Source organism: Homo sapiens, chromosome 20, assembly GCF_000001405.40.
Source record: "Homo sapiens chromosome 20, GRCh38.p14 Primary Assembly".
Lineage (NCBI taxonomy): Eukaryota > Metazoa > Chordata > Mammalia > Primates > Hominidae > Homo > Homo sapiens.
Genome location: NC_000020.11, coordinates 36,236,468 through 36,257,667, shown reverse-complemented (window position 1 = coordinate 36,257,667; position 21,200 = coordinate 36,236,468). Strand labels below are relative to the sequence as shown.

The 21,200-nt window shown below is 45.1% G+C and overlaps 1 protein-coding gene across 6 annotated transcripts; it reads right to left on the bottom strand.

Moving 5' to 3' along the window:
• Positions 1–734: 734 nt before the first annotated feature.
• AAR2 (AAR2 splicing factor) lies at positions 735–21,190 on the bottom strand. 6 transcript variants are annotated; one of them, XM_006723770.4, is made up of 5 exons: positions 20,886–21,190; positions 20,631–20,786; positions 17,043–17,847; positions 12,742–12,971; positions 735–2,090 (listed from the first exon to the last, which is right to left on the bottom strand). In XM_006723770.4, the coding sequence occupies exons 3-5, from the start codon at positions 17,797–17,799 to the stop codon at positions 1,923–1,925; spliced, it is 1,155 nt and encodes a 384-aa protein (XP_006723833.1). In that variant the 5' UTR covers positions 17,800–17,847; positions 20,631–20,786; positions 20,886–21,190; the 3' UTR covers positions 735–1,922. The 6 variants fall into 6 exon arrangements, with proteins under 6 accessions (XP_006723833.1, XP_011527065.1, XP_011527064.1 ...); XM_011528763.3 differs by having other exon boundaries at positions 20,702–20,786; XM_011528762.3 differs by having other exon boundaries at positions 21,165–21,190.
• Positions 21,191–21,200: the final 10 nt, after the last annotated feature.

The window sequence follows — 21,200 nt, the reverse complement described above, 5'->3', positions numbered from 1 at the left end:
CGGGGTTTCACCATGTTAGCCAGGATGGTCTTGATCTCCGGACTTCATGATCCACCCACCTCGGCCTCCCAAAGTGCTGGGATTACAGGCATGAGCCACCGCGCCCGGCCAAAATTAATCATTTTCAAGTGCTTACTTTCAGTGGTTTTTAGTAAATTCTTAAGGTTGTACAACTATCACCACCATCTAATTCCAGAATATTTTCATCACCCCAAAAAGAAATCCCAGACTCATCAGCAGTCACTGCCATTCCATACTGTCTTATTCTCTGGTAACCGCTAATTGACTCTCCCTCTTTGTGGATTTGTTTCTAGTGGACATGCCACGTGAATGGAATCACATAATAGGTGGTCCTTGTGTCTTTGACTTAGCACATTCTCAAGGTTCATCCGTGTTGTAGCATGTATCAGGACTTCACTCCTTTAAAGATACAGTTTTCACAAGCTCCCCAGCTAGTTCTGATGAGTGGGCTTTGGGAGAAAAAGAGGAGCCAATTCATATCAGGTGATTCTTGGGTTATTATTGAGACATGGGGCCTCATCCCTTCTTCCTTGTGTGCCTGTCTCAGGGGCCTCAAGAGGAACAGGAGGAACACTGGCTGCCTGCCTCTTCCAGACTCCAGAGGTTGGGCAAGTCTCCCATACACTGGAGGGAGGTGTGTGTCTATGGACAGTAGCCTGGCTGCTCTGGAGATCAGGCGGATTAACTGCAAGAGACACACACACACAAGGGGATTGTCTCAACTCGAAGACTTTAATGTACATTATGCTCTTGGAAAAACATCTCCAAGGAAACAAGTGGAAGCAAAAGTCTCAACCAGCAGGGATTCTCATTCAAAAACATGGTGTGAGCCCCAGTCTTGGAAAAGGATGGCACAGGGACTGTGATCATAGTACAACAGTTTGATGTCAGGGTGGCAGGGCCTGTGTACTTGTCTAGAGAGGAACCCTGCCACACAGCACGAAGGACTCCCGAGGAACCAGGAGCTCATTACTCCGGTGACTGACAGCTCCACAGCGGGACTGGGAAGATTTAGGCTGACCAGGTCTTCTTCAGCACTTGGAAGGCACAAAACTTCGTAAAGGCCTTAAGAAGCCTGCTCTGGGCAGAAACCTTTCTGGTTGTTGTTGACTCTCCAGGTCATCAGAAACAGTCACGGTGGCTCTGGTGAGGAAGGGGAGGGTCCCACTTCTGGGTGAGGCCTCGGAATGGAACAGGTGGGAGGTGACAGCACCAGCAAGGCCTCTGAGGCCAGGGTCCACACCCACCTTGGGAGATGACCCACTGGGCCTCTGGACAGGAGAATGGGATTTCGATGGAGAAAGCTGAAGCTGACCACCTGCTAGATTGAATCCAGCTGCCTCCCTTGAAACTCTCTTCCCAATCAAGGGCTCCCAAGGAGCTGCAGGCCAAGTCCTCTGCTCCTATTTAGCAAGAGGCAGGCGGCAATTCGGGCTGATCTCCCCATCACCCTTCATTTAACCGCAAAAAAAGTCACCAACCAACTTCTCAGACCCCCTGGGCAATCCAGGGTTTCTTGTTTCCTAAGCTCCTATGGAACAAGCAATCAGTTCTTTCTTGGACTTTTGGTTCAATTCCTTCTCATTCAGAGGAAATATGGTTGCCGTGTAGGCAGATGTCTCCTAGGAGCGTGTGTGTGTAAGAGCCTGTGTGAAATTCAGCCAGGTTAGCACCAAGGCCTGGCTGATGGGGAACCCACAAATGTGCCTTCAGGATGGGTACAGCCTCTTTGGCAATGAAGAAATATATTTATCAGTGAAAAAGGGAATTCTGGCTCCATCTTTGCAGGACCTGGAGAGATTGCTGCCCTGGCAGGTCCCAGGATGGGAAGAAGTAAATGGAGAGGCCAGGACTGCAGCCCTGTGGGAAGGGGCCCCTCGCAGCTGAGAGCGCTCCCCGAGTTAGCCCATCTCGATGCCCTCAGGGAGCTCCACCACCACCGGGGCACAGTCCTCAGGTTCCGCAGCAAAGTCCCACCGGAACTTCTTGGTCAGGTGAGCTTGGAACTTTTCAGCTTTCTTTCTCAGGGTGGCATCCACGGCAATGCTGCAGGCAGAGGAAAAGAAAACCTACAGAGAACAGAGGATAAGTCACTCCTGAGAAGACGGAGGGCAGGGGGCGAGAAAGCTGTGGAAATTTCCTCATGGTGTTCGGCTCTTCTGGGGCGGGTAGATCAGCTGCTGCTGGCATAGGCCCAGGACACCTGCTATGCTCCCCCCAAACCAAGAAAGAAGGTCCAAACCCAGCTGAGATGCTAGGGCAGGACTAGAATGGAAAATTACTATCTGGGCAGAGGCTGGGGGCCATTACCCTGGCTCCACCCCCTGGGGGGTTCTACTGGACACCCGGGCAGTAACCCAGAGGAACAGGTAGTAGCTACACCAGTCGGTACTAAGGTCCTAAGAAAGGCTTGGGGGTGCTTATAAGCCCCTGGATCCCATAAAGTCCCAGGCCCCAAGCCAACACGACTGAATTGCTGCTCTAATCTTCTAAATGGGCCACAGGCTGCCAGTTTGAGGCTTCTATCCCCCTTAAAAGCTGTCTTTGATTTTTTTTTTAATTGTGGTAAAATATACAGATGGACCCTGACTTACATTCAATTTATGACACTTCGACTTTATGATGATGCAAAGTGATACACATTCAGAAGAAGCTGCACTTTGAATTGTTTCTTTCAGTACAGTATTCAAGAAATTACATGAGATATTCAACACTTCCTTATAAAATAGGCTTTGTGTTAAATGATTTTGCACAACTGTAGGCTAGTGTTAGTGTTCTGAGCACGTTTGAGGTGGGTGAGGCTGAGCTACAATGTTAGGGACGTTAGGTGTAATCAATGCATTTTTTACTTACGGTATATCTGATTTACAGTTTATTAAGACATAACCCCATGTGAAGCTGAGGAGCATCTGTACATAAGATCTACCATTTCAACCATTTAAAAATATTTTTATTTTTTAAACTGTGGCAAAATATACATATTATTTTAGCCATTTTAAGTGTACAGTTGAGTAGCATTAAGTACACTGACACTGTTGTACAACCATCACCACCATCCATCTTCAGAATGACCCCATCATCCCCGGCCAAAACTCTGCAGCCATTAAACAGCAACTCCCCCTTCCCTCTTCCCTCCAGGCCCTGGCAACCCACATTCTACTTTCCAACTCTGTGAATTCGACTACCCTATCCCCCTTCCCTCCTCCCACCAGGCCCTGGCAACCCACATTCTACTTTCTGTCTCTATGAATCTGACTACTCTAGGCACCTCATCTAAGTGGAATCATACAGCATTTGTCCTTTTGCAACTGGCTTATTTCACTTAGCATAATATCCTTCAAGGTTCATTAATGATGCAGCATGTGTCAGAATTTCCTTTCTTTTGAAGGCTGAATAATATTCTGTTGTATGCAGATACCACATTTTGTTTGTCTAGTCATCTGTCAATGCCTATTTGTGTTGTTTTTACCTTCTGGCTATCGTGAATAATGCTGCTATGAACATGGGTGTACACATATCTCTTAGGGTCTCTGCTTTCAGTTCTTTTGCACAGAAACCCAGGAGTGGAGCTGTTGGATCATACGGGAACTCCCTGTTTAAATTCTGATGAACTGCCACAGTTTTTCACAGGGGCCGTACCATTTTATATTCCCACCAGCAATGCACAAAGGTTCTCATTTCTCCACATCCTGGCCAACGCCTGTTATTTTCTCTGTGTGTTTAAATCATGCCATTCTAATAGGTAGGAGGTAGTATCTTACTGCAGTTTGGATTTGCATTTCCCTAATGATCAGTGGATATTGAGTATGTTTTCATGTGCACATTGGCCATTTGTATATCTTCTTTGGTGAAATGTCCATTCAACTTCCTTGCCCATTTGTAAATTGGGTTGTTTTTGCATTGTTGAGTTGTAGGAGTTCTTTATATATTCTGGATATCAACCCCTTATTCTGATGCTCTCATGAACAGTTTCATTTAATACAAACATGGGCAGGGGAGCAGAATGGTAATTTTTTCCACATCTGAAACCCCATTCCAGATTGTCCTGGATCCCAGTCCCTCCCTAAGAGTAATAGCAAACCCATGATTCCTTCTTATACTATTTTACTGTTTTCAAAGAAGTTTCACAGAGCATCCAACTGGATCCTCCCAATACCCTGGAAAGATACAACAGAATGCCTATTTTAAGGAAATGGAAGCTGAGAGGAGTTAAATGACTGAATAAAAATTACCCAGAAAGGAAGAAGTGGTTTTTCCCAGACTACCATCTGCTACCCTACAGGCCCACCCAGAGACACAGGGTTGTGACGGTGGAAGAAGCTCTTTGATCCACATCGCCCTCATGCCACAGTTGGCTTTCAGGCCACCATGGAAAATGCTGGGCCGCAGGAGACCTGACCCAACAAAGGCAACAGGCGTCCTCTGCAGCTGATTCCAGGGGGAATATTCCTCCCACCTGCTTCTCCGCTGTCTTCCTGTTAGCAGGAGTGCGGCTCGTTTTCAGTGGTCTTTGTCTGGAGCCATTCCGTTGGAGTAGCAGCAGTGGGAACACAGAGAGGTGATGGGGGGGAAGGGGGGCGGTACAGAATCCAGCTTCATTAACTTGGGAATCGACTAAACACAGGAGTGGGAAGCGCAGCCACAACAAAATACCAGATCAATAACTAATTAGCAGGGCTGTGTGATCTTGGTGGCGAGGGCCATGGGGAAGCCAAGGGTTGGCCTGTCTGTAGGCAGCCAGTGGAGCCCGCCTGGAGCAAGGCTGAATTCTGGGGAGGGGCCTGGTATGGACAGCACAGAAGCCTTCTCTCAAACAGTTTTAGCTCTGGAGGCCCTGCACACCCATGAGGCCATCCCCAGAGGTTGTGGGGAGACTGCTGGGCTGAATTAACAAGTCTCTTCCTGTTTCCCTTCCTTACATGGGAATTGGATGACTCTCCACAGTCCCTGCTCTCCAGCCACTGAGCAGCTGCCCAAACATGTGCCACTGCTTCCTCTGCGCCTCTCTGCACACACGCTTTTCCCTCTGCTCTTAACACCTTTCCATCTCCTGCTTTCTCCTCCTTCACCTATGAATTTCTCCTAAAGACTCAGGCTCAGCTCAAACATCACCTCCTTGAGGATCTCTTCCAGACCAAGGATGGAGTAGGTGCTCCTCTGCGTTCCCTCAGCCCCAGGGCTACCTTGATCAGTCTCAGTAAGCTAACAGGCCATTTGCTGTTGATCTTGTCCACCAGACACGGAGCAACCTCACAGCAGCGGCTCTTTCACACCGTGCTCCACTCTCGGCACAGCGCCCGACACACAAAAAGGACCCATTAGATGTTTAATGAACAGAAGAATGAAGACAACCACAGACTCAATTTGGGGTTCACTTTTGTACAGTGCCTAGCACCAAATAGCTGTTCAATAGTGATATGGTGATGCTGGGGAGAAAGAAAGGCTCATCCTAAGGAGAAGGCAGCTTCTTTACCAGGCCCCTGAATGCCATGGCTCTCAAGAAACCTCCTTGTGACATGAACTGCTCAGACCCCTGTTCCCCAGCACTGTGCCCGAGCCTCCCTCATGGCATTCCTCACACTGTGCTTGTATCACAGTGATTTGCACCCTCTAAAAGTGGGGATTGTGTCCCAATTATCAATGTGTGCCACAAAGCATATCACCCAGGGCCAGGTATAGAGTTAGGGCCCAAAGGGTGCTCACCGAATGACCTATTGAGACCCAGGGACTGCCCTGCACTTGGCAATGGCCAGGAGTGACAGGCTGGAACAAACTGGGCTCACGCTCATCACCCATCCTCCCAAAGCACCTCTCAAACATTGCCTGGGAATAAATTCCACTAGAGGCAGGTAAAACAGACACCTTCAGTCTAACAAATACGTTTTCTAATTTAAAAAGTGCTTCGTCCTTTTTAAAGAACTCACCAACTTGATCTTTACCACAGCCTGGGAGGCAGGACAGGAACTTACTATTCCCACTGCAGAGGTAAGACACTAGGCATGCGGCAACACGCAGTGACAAATGCTGAGCAGAGTCCTGTCAAAGCAGAGGCATCTCGGCTTCATCCTTTGCCTGCCCAGACCTTTTGTCTTGACAGAGGCTTAATCCATCCCTGATATTTATTTTTAGCACTGCCTTGTAGGGAACCAAGGTGCTTCTGAAACTGTCCCTTCTGCAGCCTCCAGGACACAGGGCATAGTCTGGGTTGACTTAAAAAAAAAAATCAACCTTATTGTGGTATAACTTACACACAATTAATTTTATTCATTTTATTTTATTTATTTTTTAGAGACGGGATCTCACTGTTGCCCATGCTGAAGTGCAGTGGCATGATCATATCTCACTGCAGCCTTGAACTCCTGGGCTCAAGGGATTCTCTTGCCTCGGCATCCCAAGTAGCTAGGACTACAGGTACATGCCACGAATACCTAGATAATTTTTTTTTTTTTTTGAGATAGGGTCTCACTCTGTCACCTAGGCTGGAGCACAGTGATGTGATCACAGCTTACTGCAGCCTTAACCTCTGTGCTCAAGTGATCCACACATCTAGGCCTCCTCAGTAGTTGAGACTATAGGTACATGCCACCATGCCTAGCTAAATTTTGTATTTTTTGTAGAGACAGGGTTTCGCCATGTTGCCCAGGCTGGTCTGGAACACCTGGGCTCAAGTGATCCACGCACCTTGTCTTCCCAAAGTGCTGGGATTAGAGGCATGAGCCACCACGCCTGGTATTTTTTTTTTCTTCTTAATTTTTTGTAGAGTCAGGTTCTCACTATGTTGCCCAGATTAGTAAATTCATCAATTTTAAATGCTTAGTTAATCTGGACAAATATATATATACCCCCATGCAACCACCATATGATACATGTTCACAGTGTTTGCTTTGCTTTTGGTATCCAGTTCTGAGTTTGAAGGTGCGTATAAATTTGTGTAACCGTCACCCCAATCAGGACATGGAGCCATCCCATCACACCAAACAGCTCCCTTGTGCGGCCCCTTAGCAGTCAAACCCTTCCTTCACCCCTACCCCCTGGCATTTCCTGGTCTATTTTTGACCACAGTTTCACAAACTTGGTATTTGTAAAAACTCCTCACAATTCAGAAATGAAGATGTCTAAATAGTACTTAGTTTCCAAGCAATAACTTATTCTGATTCTTTTATTTTCAGATTAATTTTACGCCTTCTTCAGGAAACTTAACAGTGGTCTAGTTATTTTATTCACTAAAACAAAATCAAGTCAACACTTTTTAACGTCACTGGGACATAAATCACCTTAATCTCAGCATATCAATACTGAATATTTAAAAAATACTTTTGAAATAGGATAATATTTTGCAAACAAATGCATTTATCTAAAACAAAAAGCACACCTACTGGGTGTTTTTCTTCAAACACAAAATAAAGCATGAACACTTTAATCATTTAATCTGTGTATTATGAAATTCTAAATTACTTTAGTCACACATGTGAAAGCTTTTCTTAAACCTAAGTTAAATAAATTGAGTTCAGTTAGGTCACCTCGAGAAATTCAAAATATCAAGGTAGGTAGCTATGTCACTATCTTATCCTATTTTTTTAGCTAGACCAAAAAGATGACATTTCCTAATTTTTTCAATTCCCAAATAATTATTCAACTTAGAATGAAACTAGCAATAGGTAGAAGATTTTGTTTCCACTTGCAGCAGAAGAAAGTGGTGTTAAAAGCAAGACTATTGTTTCACAATGATGACCAGGAAGGTAAAAAGCAGCATAAATGAGATCACCTGAGGTCAGTTTGAAAAATCTGGGATGTTTCATCTGGGGCTCTAATCATATACAGGAGCCCACCATAGGCTTTAGAATGTAAAGCTCAGCCTTGCCTTTCACTAGCTCTGTTGATTTTGAGCAAATTATGTGACCTTCCTGAGCCTGCTTCCTCATCTATATAATGGGATTAGAGACCTAGCTTCTAGCACTGTTGTGAGGGCTCAATGAGACTAAGCATGCAAAAGAGATAGCTAATGGCAAGAGGTGTAGGAGTAGGCAGGCAAATTTATCATAGTGGGCATCGTGATAAAAATACCATAGACCTCATCGTCAGAGTTGGTGTTTTCCCTCAAGAGTTAAAGATGAACACACATTTAGAATACTAGCAACAAAGGAAGTTGGAAAGCATATACGGCCTATTGTAACTAGAAGTATTTTTAAAAACAGGTTAGATGACTATATGCCTAAGTACTACGTAATCAACAATAAAAATCCTTATTTTGTACATAACTCACTTTCTAACATATCATTAAATTCAGATTATCCTTTCATTGGTTTTAAATGAATTATGGTGACTTACGTTGCTTTAAATAAAAGAAAAAACTGCATCTATTTTTGTAAAACAAATCCCTTTTATTCAAGTGAAATCCAAGGGATTTGTAAAAACCAGTGGCTTCTATTCAAAAGGGCCTCACATGGGAAAGTTGAAAAAAAATTAATGGCTAAGAGAATTCCATTACGCGGCTGATTTTATCCATGCTAATGTGGCTGTCTTTAAGTGCTCACACACACAAACACCAGTCCCTCTCCATGGGTAGTAGCCATTTAAGCTCCTAAGTAAGACAGCCAGTTCCACTTACTTGACTACCTGGGAGGGCAGGCGGCTGGCTGAGGAAGGCTTTTATGGGCTGATTCATTCAGTCACAAATGCCCTGAGTGAATGCCTCTGTGTGGAGAACTGGACTCTCACTGCCAACATGGCATCAACGTGACTCTCCATTAAAAAAAAAAAAAAAGTTTTACAATATCCTTCTCCACATTGTGCCTTTTGAAATCTCAGTCATCCCTCAAGTGCATGGTCAAATGCCCCCACCTTCCACCCTTGCATAAAGCCTCAAATCTCAACCCCAGTCAGAATTAACCACTCCCTCTTTGGTGCTCCTAACGCCCTTTGATCAGACTCCACTGTTTATACCTATGATATTTACATTGTCACAAGAATTATGAACTCTATCCATCTAAAAACACCCAATAACACCAAATGACATAAATGTTAGGCCTTGACAACATATTGATGATAACCAGATGTGAGTTGGGTGGATCACCTGAAGTCAGGAGTTCGAGACCAGCCTGGCCAACATGGCGAAACCTCATCTCTACTAAAAATACAAAAAAATTAGGTTGGCGTGGTGGTGCACACCTGTAATCCCAGCTACTTGGGAGGCTGAGGCCAGAGAATCACTTGAACCCGGGAGGCAGAGGTTGCAGTGAGCCGAGATCGCGCCATTGTACTCCAGCCTGGGTTACAGACCAAGACTATGTCTCAAAAAAAAAAAAAAAAGAAGAAGAAGAAGATAACCAGATGAACAAAAAATAGGCCTCGTGTAAAAGGAGCCCATGACTCAGTGCGGGAGTCAGGCAGACAATATATTAGTTTCAGCAAGCACATCTCATGCAATATAATAGCGACAAGTTCAAAGTAAGCTAAGAGTAGGGAAAGGGGAGAGTGAAAGAGAGACAGAGATTGAGACAGAGAGAGGAGGGATGGCTTGACAGAGAGGGATGCCTTGAGGGCATGTTGTAGAATGAGCAAATATGTACCAGGGAGAGGGAAAATCAGGTTCCGGCAAGAAGGTATGAAACATGGGTATAAAGTTTCAATTATGCAGGATGAAGAAGTTCTAGAGATCTGCTGGATGGCATGATGCTTATGGTTAATACTGTACTGAACACTGAAAATCTGTTAAGAGGGCATATATGTTAAATTGTGTTTTTTTTTACCACAATTTTATTTTTATTATTTTTTTTTGAGACAAAGTCTCACTGTTTTTGCCCAGGCTGGAGTGTAGTGGTGCAATCTCGAATCACTGCAACCTCTGCTTCCCCAGTTCAAGAGATTCTCCTGCCTCAGCCTCCTGAGTAGCTGGGACTAGAGGCGCCCACCACCATGCCTGGCTAATTTTTGTATTTTTAGTAGACATGGGGGTTTCACCATGTTGGCCAGGCTGGTCTCTAACTCCTGACCTCAAGTGATCCTCCAGCCTCGGCCTCCCAAAGTGCTGAGATCACAGGCGTGAGCCACCATGGACCAGCTGTTTTTTACAACAATTTTTTTTTTTAAAAAGCATGAAACAGCATAACCTGTCCAGGAACCTGCAAAGAGACCACTGTTGCTGGAGTTGATGGGGGAAAACGGAGAGGAAAGAGAAGCTGGAGAACAGGATAAGAAGCCAGATCAGAATGGCCTTTGCGACCAATGTTTAGGCTTTTAATTTTCCACGCAATGAGGAGCCACAGAGAAGCAGGATCACAGCTGCATTATGGAGCAGCACCTCAGGTGGCAGTGTGGGAGAGAGATGGGGTAACTGGTAAGCACGGAGGCTGGTAAACTCCGATGCAGTCTAGGTGAGACCAAAAGGCCGGGGCTAGGGAAATGGTACTAGGGCAGGACTGCCTTCTAAAACACTTACTGCTACCTGCTTACTGCTATTTGGTTAGTTAACTTTCTGTTAACTTTCTCAAAATACAAGAGTCTGCTATCTGGAGTTACTTGGCTAGTTAACTTTCTGTTAACTTTCTCAAATTACAAGAGTCAAGACAATGACTCTGTCTTGCTCACAGCTATATTCCCAGTTCTAGAACAGAGTCTTCTATACAGCAGATGCTCAGCAATTACCTGCTAAATCAATGAACAAATCCCTTGAGGGCAGGAACCCTGGCTAACTCACATGTATATATATTCCTCAACACTTTCAGTAGAATGTTATATATGAAGAATGCTCAAAGACATGTGTTTTTTGTTTTGTTTTGTTTTGTTTTGGCACATGCCCTGGATTTTTCCAAATAATGACATCGAATTTTCTTGGTGAAAAGTTCAAAGACTGAATGTTTCCAACCATCAGCTTTGCACAACCCACCTGGGCATCTAGCAATCCAGCTGGGCACTTTCTGCTTTGTAAATCATTGCTGGCAACAAAGCCTGGCAATTATAGAGCTCAGCTGCTGGTTGTGCTAACAATGGTCTGGACAGCCAGCAACACCGTGGCCCTCCTGTGTCTGTGCGACGCATCAACGTGCATCAGGAGGGAAGCAGCCACTGCCAGAGGCAAGTTAGCAGGCTAATGCCTCCTCACACTGCCTCACAACCCATAACCAGTACCTTTGGGGAAAATTTTCCCCACAGAGGAAGGACAAAGGGGTTTAATTTCTCTGTTATATGAAGAACCAGTAAAAGGACAGTTTTATAGCTCTTCTGAGTGGAACAGACCAGGCTCAAATCATGCGCTTGACTGACTCATTGCCATGGTTTACACAGGTCCTTCAACTGCCAGCTTTAAGTCAGATGCCTGCTCACAGGGACTCATCCAACAGTAGGTTGGCTTTAGAAAAGCGTTCTGTACCTCTGAGAAACAGGACCTCGATGAAGTCTTCACTGATGTCAATCAAGAATCCTTTCTGGGGGATTCACACTGTGTTCACTACACAAGGGCATAAGCACAGGCAGGAAACCAAGACTCAGGCCTGGGTACAAATCCTGACCTCCACCTGCCAGCTGTATGACTTCAAGTAAGTGATTTAACCATTCTCAAGTGTTCCCATTTGTAAAATGGGAATAATACCCCCATCTTACAAGGCTCCAAAGGGATTCAATGAGTGAACAGGGTCTCACTCTGTTGCCCAGGCTGGAGTGCAGTGGCACGATCATAATCATTGCTCACTATAGCCTCAAACTCCTGGGCTAAGTGATCCTCCTGTCTCAGCCTCCCAAGTGGCTAGGACTACAGGTGCACATGACCATACCTGGCCAATTTTTTAATTTTTGGAGAGACGGGGTCTCACTATATTGCCCAAGCTGGTCTTTAATTCCTGGGCTCAAGTGATCCTCCTGCCTTCACCTCCCAAAGTGTTGGGATTACAGTCATGAACCACCACGCCCAGCCCCAATATTTAACGAATGCTCGTCCCTTCTGTTACCCCGAGTGGGATTGGAAGGTTGGTGAAAGGCTGCCTTATATGGAGCAGGCCTCATGGGGGTATTACACACAGGGAGAAGAAAGAAGCTCATGGGAGGGAAAGTATGGAAACTGACAGTGGCAGCTTCTGCCTCTTCTATTCTTGAGAAAGTTACACAATGTGAGTGACAGAGGCTGTCCCAAGTACATAAAGGACTAATCTGTTTGCAAAGGGAGGAAATAGCATAGGATGAAGATTGTAAGTTGTTTGAAGCTTCTTTCCTAATTACCACTCATAATGAAAATTTAATTGCCAAGTTAAAAGCAAATTTCACTTTTTCTGTCATAGAATCTCTGCAGAAACTGGCACATTTTGTTTGAACAGGAAATCAAAGTTATTTTAATGCTTAAATGAGATCTAAGGAGCTGCAGATGTTTCACTGGGAATAACAAACTTCAAAATTCTGCTTTACTGGGTTGTAGCAATTCATGGCTACAGGGAGAAAGAAACGCTGTTTTAAGCTGAGTAAACCAAAGCAGTGGGAGGAATTCAAATCCAAGTACCCCAGTGTTAGGCACTCTGGGGACGAGGTGTAGGGAGAGGGTGGTACAGAGAGAAAATTTCTGGCATAGAGGCACTTACAATTGAGTAAGAGAGAGAAAAGCAGGAAATATCCCAAGACTAGGAAACTGAAATTTAAAAATTTTGGGGTCATGGAAGAATAGCGAGAAACAAAACACATACTGTTGCCTCAATTCTGACCCACATGTGCATCAGCTCAGTCAGAAAGACTGCTCACCTGTAAGGTGCTGGTGAGGAAGTTGTCTTGGGAGACAATGTCTACGAAGAAGTCAGCGGGGATCTCACCAAGCTGGTGGTACAGGATGGAGATGAGGTTGATGTAGAGGGTGTGGTGCTTCATCATGGCTGCTTCTGACCGGCACAGGAGGTTCAGGAGCCGCTTCCAATGCTCAAATGCCTCGTACACATTCCCCAGCAGGAAGCACACAAAAGCAAACTGGAGTTCACCTGAAAGGTGCAGAGAGGAGAAGTGATTCTGAGGGAGAGGAGGACCAGCTGACACTCTCCATCACTATTCACAAGGCCATGAATTCCACTGGACCTCAGCAACAGATGAGCTTTTATCCTTGTCACTCCTGCAGAGCCTGGCAGGAGATTTTGCACCTAACAGGTACTCAATAGATGTCTGCTGAACCGCTATGAATTCAAGCCATGGGAAACCAACCTGTGGCTTTGGATTTCTATAAAATCAGACTGCTAGAGAAGAGGTATTCCCAGTATTTGCCTGGCATTTTAAGTTTACAAAATGTGTTCATGGATATTATGCCAAGTGGATTTCAAACCTGGCTGCCCATCAGAATCACTGAGAGTCTGTTAAAAGTAAAGCTACCCAAGCTTCACCCTCAGAGGTTCTGGTGGAGGAGAGATGATGGGGCCTTCGTATCTGTAGCTCTAACAAGCTCCCCAGGTGATTCTAATGTGGATGGTCTGCTCCAGGGTCAGGAAATACTGCACTATACCATGTAACCCTCAGCCCAACTCCACAAGGCGATCAGGAAGATGGTATTTGCCTCATTTCATAGATAAGGTCAAGGGCTTGCCCAAGGCCACACATCTAATGCTTCACAATGTGGGCAACGGAAAGATAAAACAGATTCTCCATTGGGTGGGAACAGTTCTGGAACCTCCCACAAAAGAAAAATTCATGAGTACTTATTCCAGGGTCAGCCTGCCAGGCAGATTATTTTTGTTTGCTTAACCACAGGGCTCTGTGATTTAATCTCTATGAGCAGCTTGGTGGCTAAGAGCATGGGCTCTGGAGCCAAACTGCCTAGCTTCAAATCTTAGCTCTGCCACTTAGCAGCTGTGTGACCTTGGGCAAGTTACTCAATCTATTAAGGCCTCAATTTCCTTATTTGAGGGTTGTAGCAAAGATTACATGAATGGATATAGTACATGTATAGCATTTAGAATAAGACCTGGCACAAAGTAGCACTCAAAAAATATTATGTTCCCAATTTCTATCAGATGCCCATCTCAAACAGAGACCTGATGATCCAGACACCACTGTCCCTGGGCAAGTAACTGGGTCTCTGGTTACCACAGAATACTGCTCCTCATCACAGGCATTCTCTCTACTTCAAAGGTGGCTGGAAATTTAATGAGGTATACATACATGTGGGCCATAAAAAGAAGAGATGTACTCAACACCAAATACCTCTTTAAATGCATGGCGTTTGATCTGTGCCACCTCCAGAGACCTGGAAAAACTAGCTCCCTGTTCCTAAGCATACGGAACTAAGTTTGATTTGTGTGAATAGCTACCTGGTTTAGAAATTTTGGATTTCTGACCAATATTTTCAAATATAGTCAAATTTTCTTTGTATAATATAGGTTAATGATTTGCTTCTTCAGCTGGCTTTACTTGGTTTGTGAAACTAAATATTAGCCTATTATTTGCGTTTAGGACATTTATTAAATTTGTGCATTTCTGACTTTATCTAAAATTAAATTATATTTTTCAAAGAGGTGTGATGTAGATTCAAAATTATCCCTGGACAGGTGCGGTGGCAGGGATAGTCCTAGCCCTTTGAGAGGTCAGTGGAGGAGGATTGCTTGAGTTCAGGAGTTTGAGACAAGCTTGGGCAACACAGGGAGACCCTATCTCAACCAAAAATAATTAGCTGGGCGTGGTGGCACACACCTGAAGTCCCACCTACTTGGGAGGCTGAGGTGGGAGGCTCAGTTGAGCCCAGGAGGTTGAGGCTGCAGTGAGTTGTGATCATGCCACTGTACTCCAGCCCATGTCACAGAGTGAGACCTTGTCTCAAAAAAAAAAAAAAAAAAAAACCAACAAAGTTATTCCTGTAACAGACCTTTTCGCAAGATATATTTTGAAGAATTGAAATGTTTAAGAGGTAGAAAGACAGGATTTCTATTCATTTTTAAGCCAGACTTTTAAAAGTTACTTATTATACGAAAATACTAATGCATTAAGATGTACCTGTTAAAGGCTGGGTGCGGTGGCTCACGCCTGTAATTCCAGCACTTTGGGAGGCTGAGGCAGGTGGATCATGAGGTCAGGAGATCGAGACCATCCTGGCCAACATGGTGAAACCCTGTCTCTACTAAAAATACAAAACAAAATTAGCCGGGCGTGGTGGCGGGCGCCTGTAGTCCCAGCTACTCAGGAGGCTGAGGCAGGAGAATGGCGTGAACCCGGGAGGCGGAGCTTGCAGTGAGCCGAACTCACACCACTGCACTCCAGCCTGGGCGACAGAGCAAGACTCCGTCTCAACAACAACAACAACAACAACAACAACAACAACAACAACAACAAAAGATGTACCTGTTAAAATATAGGTTATATCATTAGCTGAGCCAATGATATAAAAAGTCCTGTCTAGGCACAGTAATCCCAGCACTTTGGGAAGCCGAGGCAGAAGGATCACTTGGGCCCGAGAGGTTGAGGTGGCAGTAAGACATGATTGTGTGACTGACTGTACTCCACCCTGGGCGACACAGCGAAACCCTGTCTCAAAAAAAAAAAAAAAAAAAAAAGAAGTCCTACATTCAAATTTCTCACTGAACTTCCAACAAGAAAATATGCAAATTACCTGGAAAATTTATAAATATATATAAAAATAGCTGTTCAAAATGTGACACATATTTGCTGTCACTAGTATTTAAGAAATAAAGAAATATAAACAAGGTGCCATTTTTCAGCTATCCAATTGGAAGAGGCCTTTGTTAAACTGTCATGCCCAATGCTGTCAAAGGTGATGGGCAACAGGTTCCTACCAGCCAGCAAGGATGCAAAAACCTTCTCCTGGCAACATGCACAGTCTGACCCAGCAATTCTATCCCTAAATGTATGTGTAAGTACACACGAGAATGTTCACTAGATGATATATGTATATATATTTTTGAGACGGCTCTTGTTGCCCAGGCTGGAGTGCAATGGCGAGGTCTTGGTTCACTGCGACCTCTGCCTCCTGGGTTCAAGTGATTCTCCTGCCTCAGCCTCCAGAGTAGCTGGGACTACAGGTGCACACCACCCAGCTAATTTTGTATTTTTAGTACAGATGGGGTTTCACCATGTTGGCCAGGCTGGTCTCGAACTCCTAACCTCAGGTGATCCCCACCGGCCTCAGCCTCCCAAAGTGCTGGGATTACAGGTGTGAGTCACCACACCCGGCCACTTGATGATACAATAGAGAAAACAGGGAGCATCTCAATGGTCCATAACAGAGAACTGGTCCAATAACTATGGAACATGAAACAGCCACTAAAAAAGTGACTGTTAGTGACATGAAAAAACATTTATATTAAGGCAGATTACAAAGTAATAATATACTTCAATCCTGTTTTTATAAAAACTCATATATATACAGACACATATACTGAATTTTTAAGACTGAGAGGAAGTACATAGAAATAAACAGAGAAGACATTGAAATGAAATACATAGAAATACACAGAAAAAAAGGAACGTAAATATACCAAACTGTTTAAATGGTTATTTCTAAGTAGTGAGATTTGAAGTAAATTTTGTTTTTCTTTTATGATTATTATCTATCATTTTTGTAATAAAAGGGAAGGTAACAATAAAAACTGTAATGATTAAAAAAAAAATCACTGTCCTGTTCTAAGCCAGTTGAGAGACCAACATCTTGAGGGTCAGGAGCAAACTGAGCAGGCAGGTGAGAGGCTACAACGAACACAGGTCTGGCCCAGAAACCAAGAGTCCTGGGTTCTCGTCTCAGTTCAGCCACTCAGTGGGCCAAATCTTTTCCTTCTGTAGGACTGGGCTCTATCAGTGGTTCCCAAACAGAAGATTATCTGCACCAGGTTCACCTAGGATGTTTGTTTATTAGACAGATAGAAACTGCGGAAGCCCCACTCCAGATCTCTCAAATCGAAATCTCCAGGGCTAAGGGTAAAGACACACCTGTATCTTCAGCCTCCTAGCCAGGTTTAGTTGCTGCTGGACTAACACAAGATGTACTCCCTATTCCAAAACACCTCTGCTAATATCCTCCCCTTGGCCCACTCCCAAAGAGCCTTGTTCCTTCTCACCAAGCACATCCTGGGGGCTGCTGGGGAACTGCTTGTTGAGCACAGTCTCCAGGGCATAGCTCAGGTCCATGCTGTGCTTGGTTATCTCAGCTGGCGTGGCACCCTCTGGGAACATCTGCGTGGGCAGCTCTGAGAAGCGGATCTCTGTCCCGGCTCTGGGCTTCATCTCTGGTAGCCGGGCCAGGCCCTCTTGGTAGCTTTTGCACTCAATGCCACAGCGGGGTAGATTCTGCCCCACGCGGTCCTTGGTGTGCTTCATGGAGAGCACAGGTAGCACATCGGAAAAGGCACAGATCTGTCGATTCTCGGGCTGTAGCTTCTCCACTGTGGCTTCGCTGATGAAGTTGGTGAGTGAGATCCACTTCTTCAGGGTGGCATATGGGTAAGGCCCCAGGAACTGGTCCAGCTCCTGGAGGTTGGCCCTCATGGCCTCCACCTCAGACTCTGGGGCTGGGGACAGGTCTACCTCTTCCCTGAGTGTGCTCCAGCGCAGCACTGTCAGCCCCCGCTGGTGCAGGCTAAGGAAGAAACCCATACGAGGGCCTACTTCCTTCGGATTAGCCTTGTCCACAGAGCTGTAGTGGAGGAAGTGGATGCCTGGAGGGATCATCTTCACGCCCCGGAACTTGGGCCCGACCTCCCAGGAGTTATAGTCAATCCCAAACTCTGTTCCCTTGGGCATGTTCAGGATGACCACAGTGGCCCCTTCAAAGAAGAGGCGCTTGGCTAGCTCAGGATCCATCTGCACGGCAGCCATGGGGCCAGTGGTGGGTGACCAAAAGAACCCTTTTTCTTTGATGAACAGCTGAGAAAGAAAGAAACCAGAGTTAATCAGAACGTGGGGGAAAGATGCTTCATTTGCTAAGCATTCTGTATGTGCCAGATATTGAGTTAGACCCCTGACATAATTATTTCCCTTAATCCTCATGACAACCCTGCATTGAGTTTACAGATGAGAAAAACGAGGATTAAAGGAAAGGATTTTTGTGTTTTGGCTTAACATGCAAGGACACTCACTTCACAGCTATAAGATACCAGTGAAAGAAAAGTGACATGCTCATGGTCATACCAGGACCCAAATTAGAATCTGGATACCCTGCCTGCAGGCCAGTGTTCTGTCCACCGTCCATTCTTAATATCTTCTCAGATCTCTTTCTCACAACAGAGGGTGAGGGTGGAAAATGCCTGGACAGGTCACTCTAAACTATATGCCTACATCATTTAAAACTACAATTCTGCCAAAAAACTATCCCAAAAGATTTGGAAAGATTAAATCAAGTACATATCCAGTTTCCCATAAGCCTCAGGGAAGGCCCAGAAATGGACAGACGGTAGCAAGTGGAGGCTCAGCATCTAAAGTTTGTTCAGGGTCTAGAGAGCTTTCCTACCACAAATCTCCCCTCTTCTTTCACTCATAAAAAACCTAAACTCCAGGGAGTGAAACAACTTCCCAAAGAGCCCACAATCAGTGGTGGCTCTGGACCATTCATCCAGAATGAATTCAGGTGGTAAAGCTAGCCTAGGAAGAGAAAGCTGGCCAGAAGAGAAAGAGCTTAGTACACTTATTTTACCTACTTCTGAATATCCCAGACATTGCCTCTGGGATATCGGCAAGAATGGTACCAACATGAACAAATGTAAACAAACCATTATGCAACCTTCTAGTCCTAAGATACCTACCTGACTAATTTAACAAATACTCACTGAGTGCCTGCATTGTGCCAGGATCTTTGCCAGGCCCCCAAAAAACATCACAGATTAAGACAGTCACTGCCCTCTAGGCAATTCCAATCTAGCCAAGACGTCAAAATTTCACACACAGAAAAACGAGCTGCCTGTTTAATTGTTTACTTTTTTTTTTTTTTTTTTTGAGACAGGGTCTCGCTCTGTCACCCCAGCTGGAGTGCAGTGGCGTGATCTCGGCTCACTACATCGTCCACCTCCCGGGTTCAAGCAATTCTTGTGCCTCAGCCTCCCAAGCAGCTGAGACTACCGGTGTGTGCCACCACACCTGGCTAAGTTTTGTATTTTTAGTACAGAGAGGGTCTCACCATGTGGCCTAGGCTAGTCTGGAACTCCTGACCTCAGTGATCTGCCCGCCTCGGCCTCCCAAAGTGCTGAGATAACAGGTGTGAGCCACCATGCCTGGCCCTGTTTACCCTTTTTACTTTAAATAAAGCAGTGCAGAAAGGAAGACCAATCCTTTTCCAAAAATAAGAGCACATTTTATCATTGTTACCTCAAAACCACCACAAATGACTCTTACCCTGAATCAGCACTTTGTGTTTCACCAAACTGCAAGTCACAATCCATTAGTGGATTAGGAAATCAATGTGAAGGTCTCAACCAGCATTATTTTTTAAACGAAAATAACAGAATTTTTGAAATATCACAATACATCATGAGTAGTAAAGCTAAGTACTGTTTTCTGGAGCTTTGTGTGTTTGTGTGTATACTTGGTTGTGCCATAAAATGTATTCGTTACTGTAGGTCACAGTCATAAAAGTTTGAAAGACTCTGCTCTAAATAATTCGTATCAACAGGCCGGGCGTGGTGGCTCACGCCTGTAATCACAGCACTTTGGGAGGCCGAGGCGGATGGATAATGAGGTCAGGAGTTTGAGACCAGCCTGGCCAATACTGTGAAACCCCATCTCTACTAAAAATACAAAAAAAATTAGCCGCGCATGGTGGTGTGCGCCAGTAGTCCCAGCTACTTGAGAAGCTGAGGCAGAAGAATTGCTTGAACCTGGGAGGCAGAGGTTGCAGTGAGCTGAGATCACACCACTGCACTCCAGCCTGGGGGTCTGAGCGAATTCCGTCTCAAAATAATAATAATAATAATAATAATAATAATAATAATAATAATAATAATACGTATCATCTTCCTATTTGTAATCCTGAATTCAGAAAGTATTTAATATTTGCTGAATGAACAGATATTCCATTTACAATAACAGCTCATCAATTAGCCATTTTCCCTTGTGACATCTGTGTGCTCCTCCTTGATAATGACGTTTCTTTCATGCTAATTCCACCAGTCTGTAATTCTATTCACTATATCTCCAGCAGCTGGCACAGGGCCTAGCACAGAGGAGATGCTAGGAAAACGTTTATTAAATATGCATAGAACTCTGCAGTCTACCAGCCCCTGTCACTGACAGCTCTGTGAGTTCCTCACAGTCCTGGAACACCTAAAGTCACATCCATCCACTTCTCTCCACCACCTCCCTAATCCAAGCTACCATCGTCCCTCACTCAGAGTGCTTGCTCCTCAACCCATTCTCCATTCAACAGCAGTAACCTTTTCAAAATGCCAATCTAATCACAACACCACCCATGTCAGCTTCTGAGTGGTTTCCCATATGGTTCTTGAAAAACCAGAATTCTTCCTATTACCTACAAAGCCTGCACGGTCTGACTCCTGGCAACCCCTTTAGCTTGTGTCACACAATGGTCCCCCACAAGCTCTCTGTTCCAGCCACAACGGCCTCTTTCAGAACCTGAAATTGGAGGCTGTCTCCATATAGAAAACTCTTCCCTCCCCACTTTGTCAAATCCTTTTTTCTGATCTCAGCTCAATATTCACCTCCTCAGTAAAGGTTCCTTGCCCTGGGGCTAGGTCAGGTCTCCTGTGATATAATCTGGGGTGCCTTGTACCTTTCCGTCTCAATGATCACAACTGCAGTTTTGGATGTTTGATTGAAGGCTGTCATCGCCACGAGACTTGAGTCCTGCTGTATCCCTAGCACAGATTCAACGCTTAGTAAACATTTATTTAATACAAGTATGATATCCATTTTGTAAACGAGAAACAAAGCCTCAGTTCGGGGAAAGACCTTACTGGAAGTCACGCAGAGAGTAGGGCAGAGCCAGGTCGAGTGCAATCAGGGTCTCCGGCCCCCAGGCTCTAAAGTTAAGAAAACCGCGACGTAACTCTGGCGACGGCTTCTCAGGAAGGGCCTCCAGAGACACCAGCGTCCCACAAACAGAGAACCAGCCGCCCCGGCGAGGTGGGCCTAGTTCAAGGCACTCCGTGACTCTGAGCCGAGAAGAGGGGCGGCCCAGCCACACATACACAAGGAATCAGGAAAGGAAAAAGAGGCCAGGAGGCCACACTCACCGCCTCGCCCCACGTTCCGGTACAGCGGAAACGCAC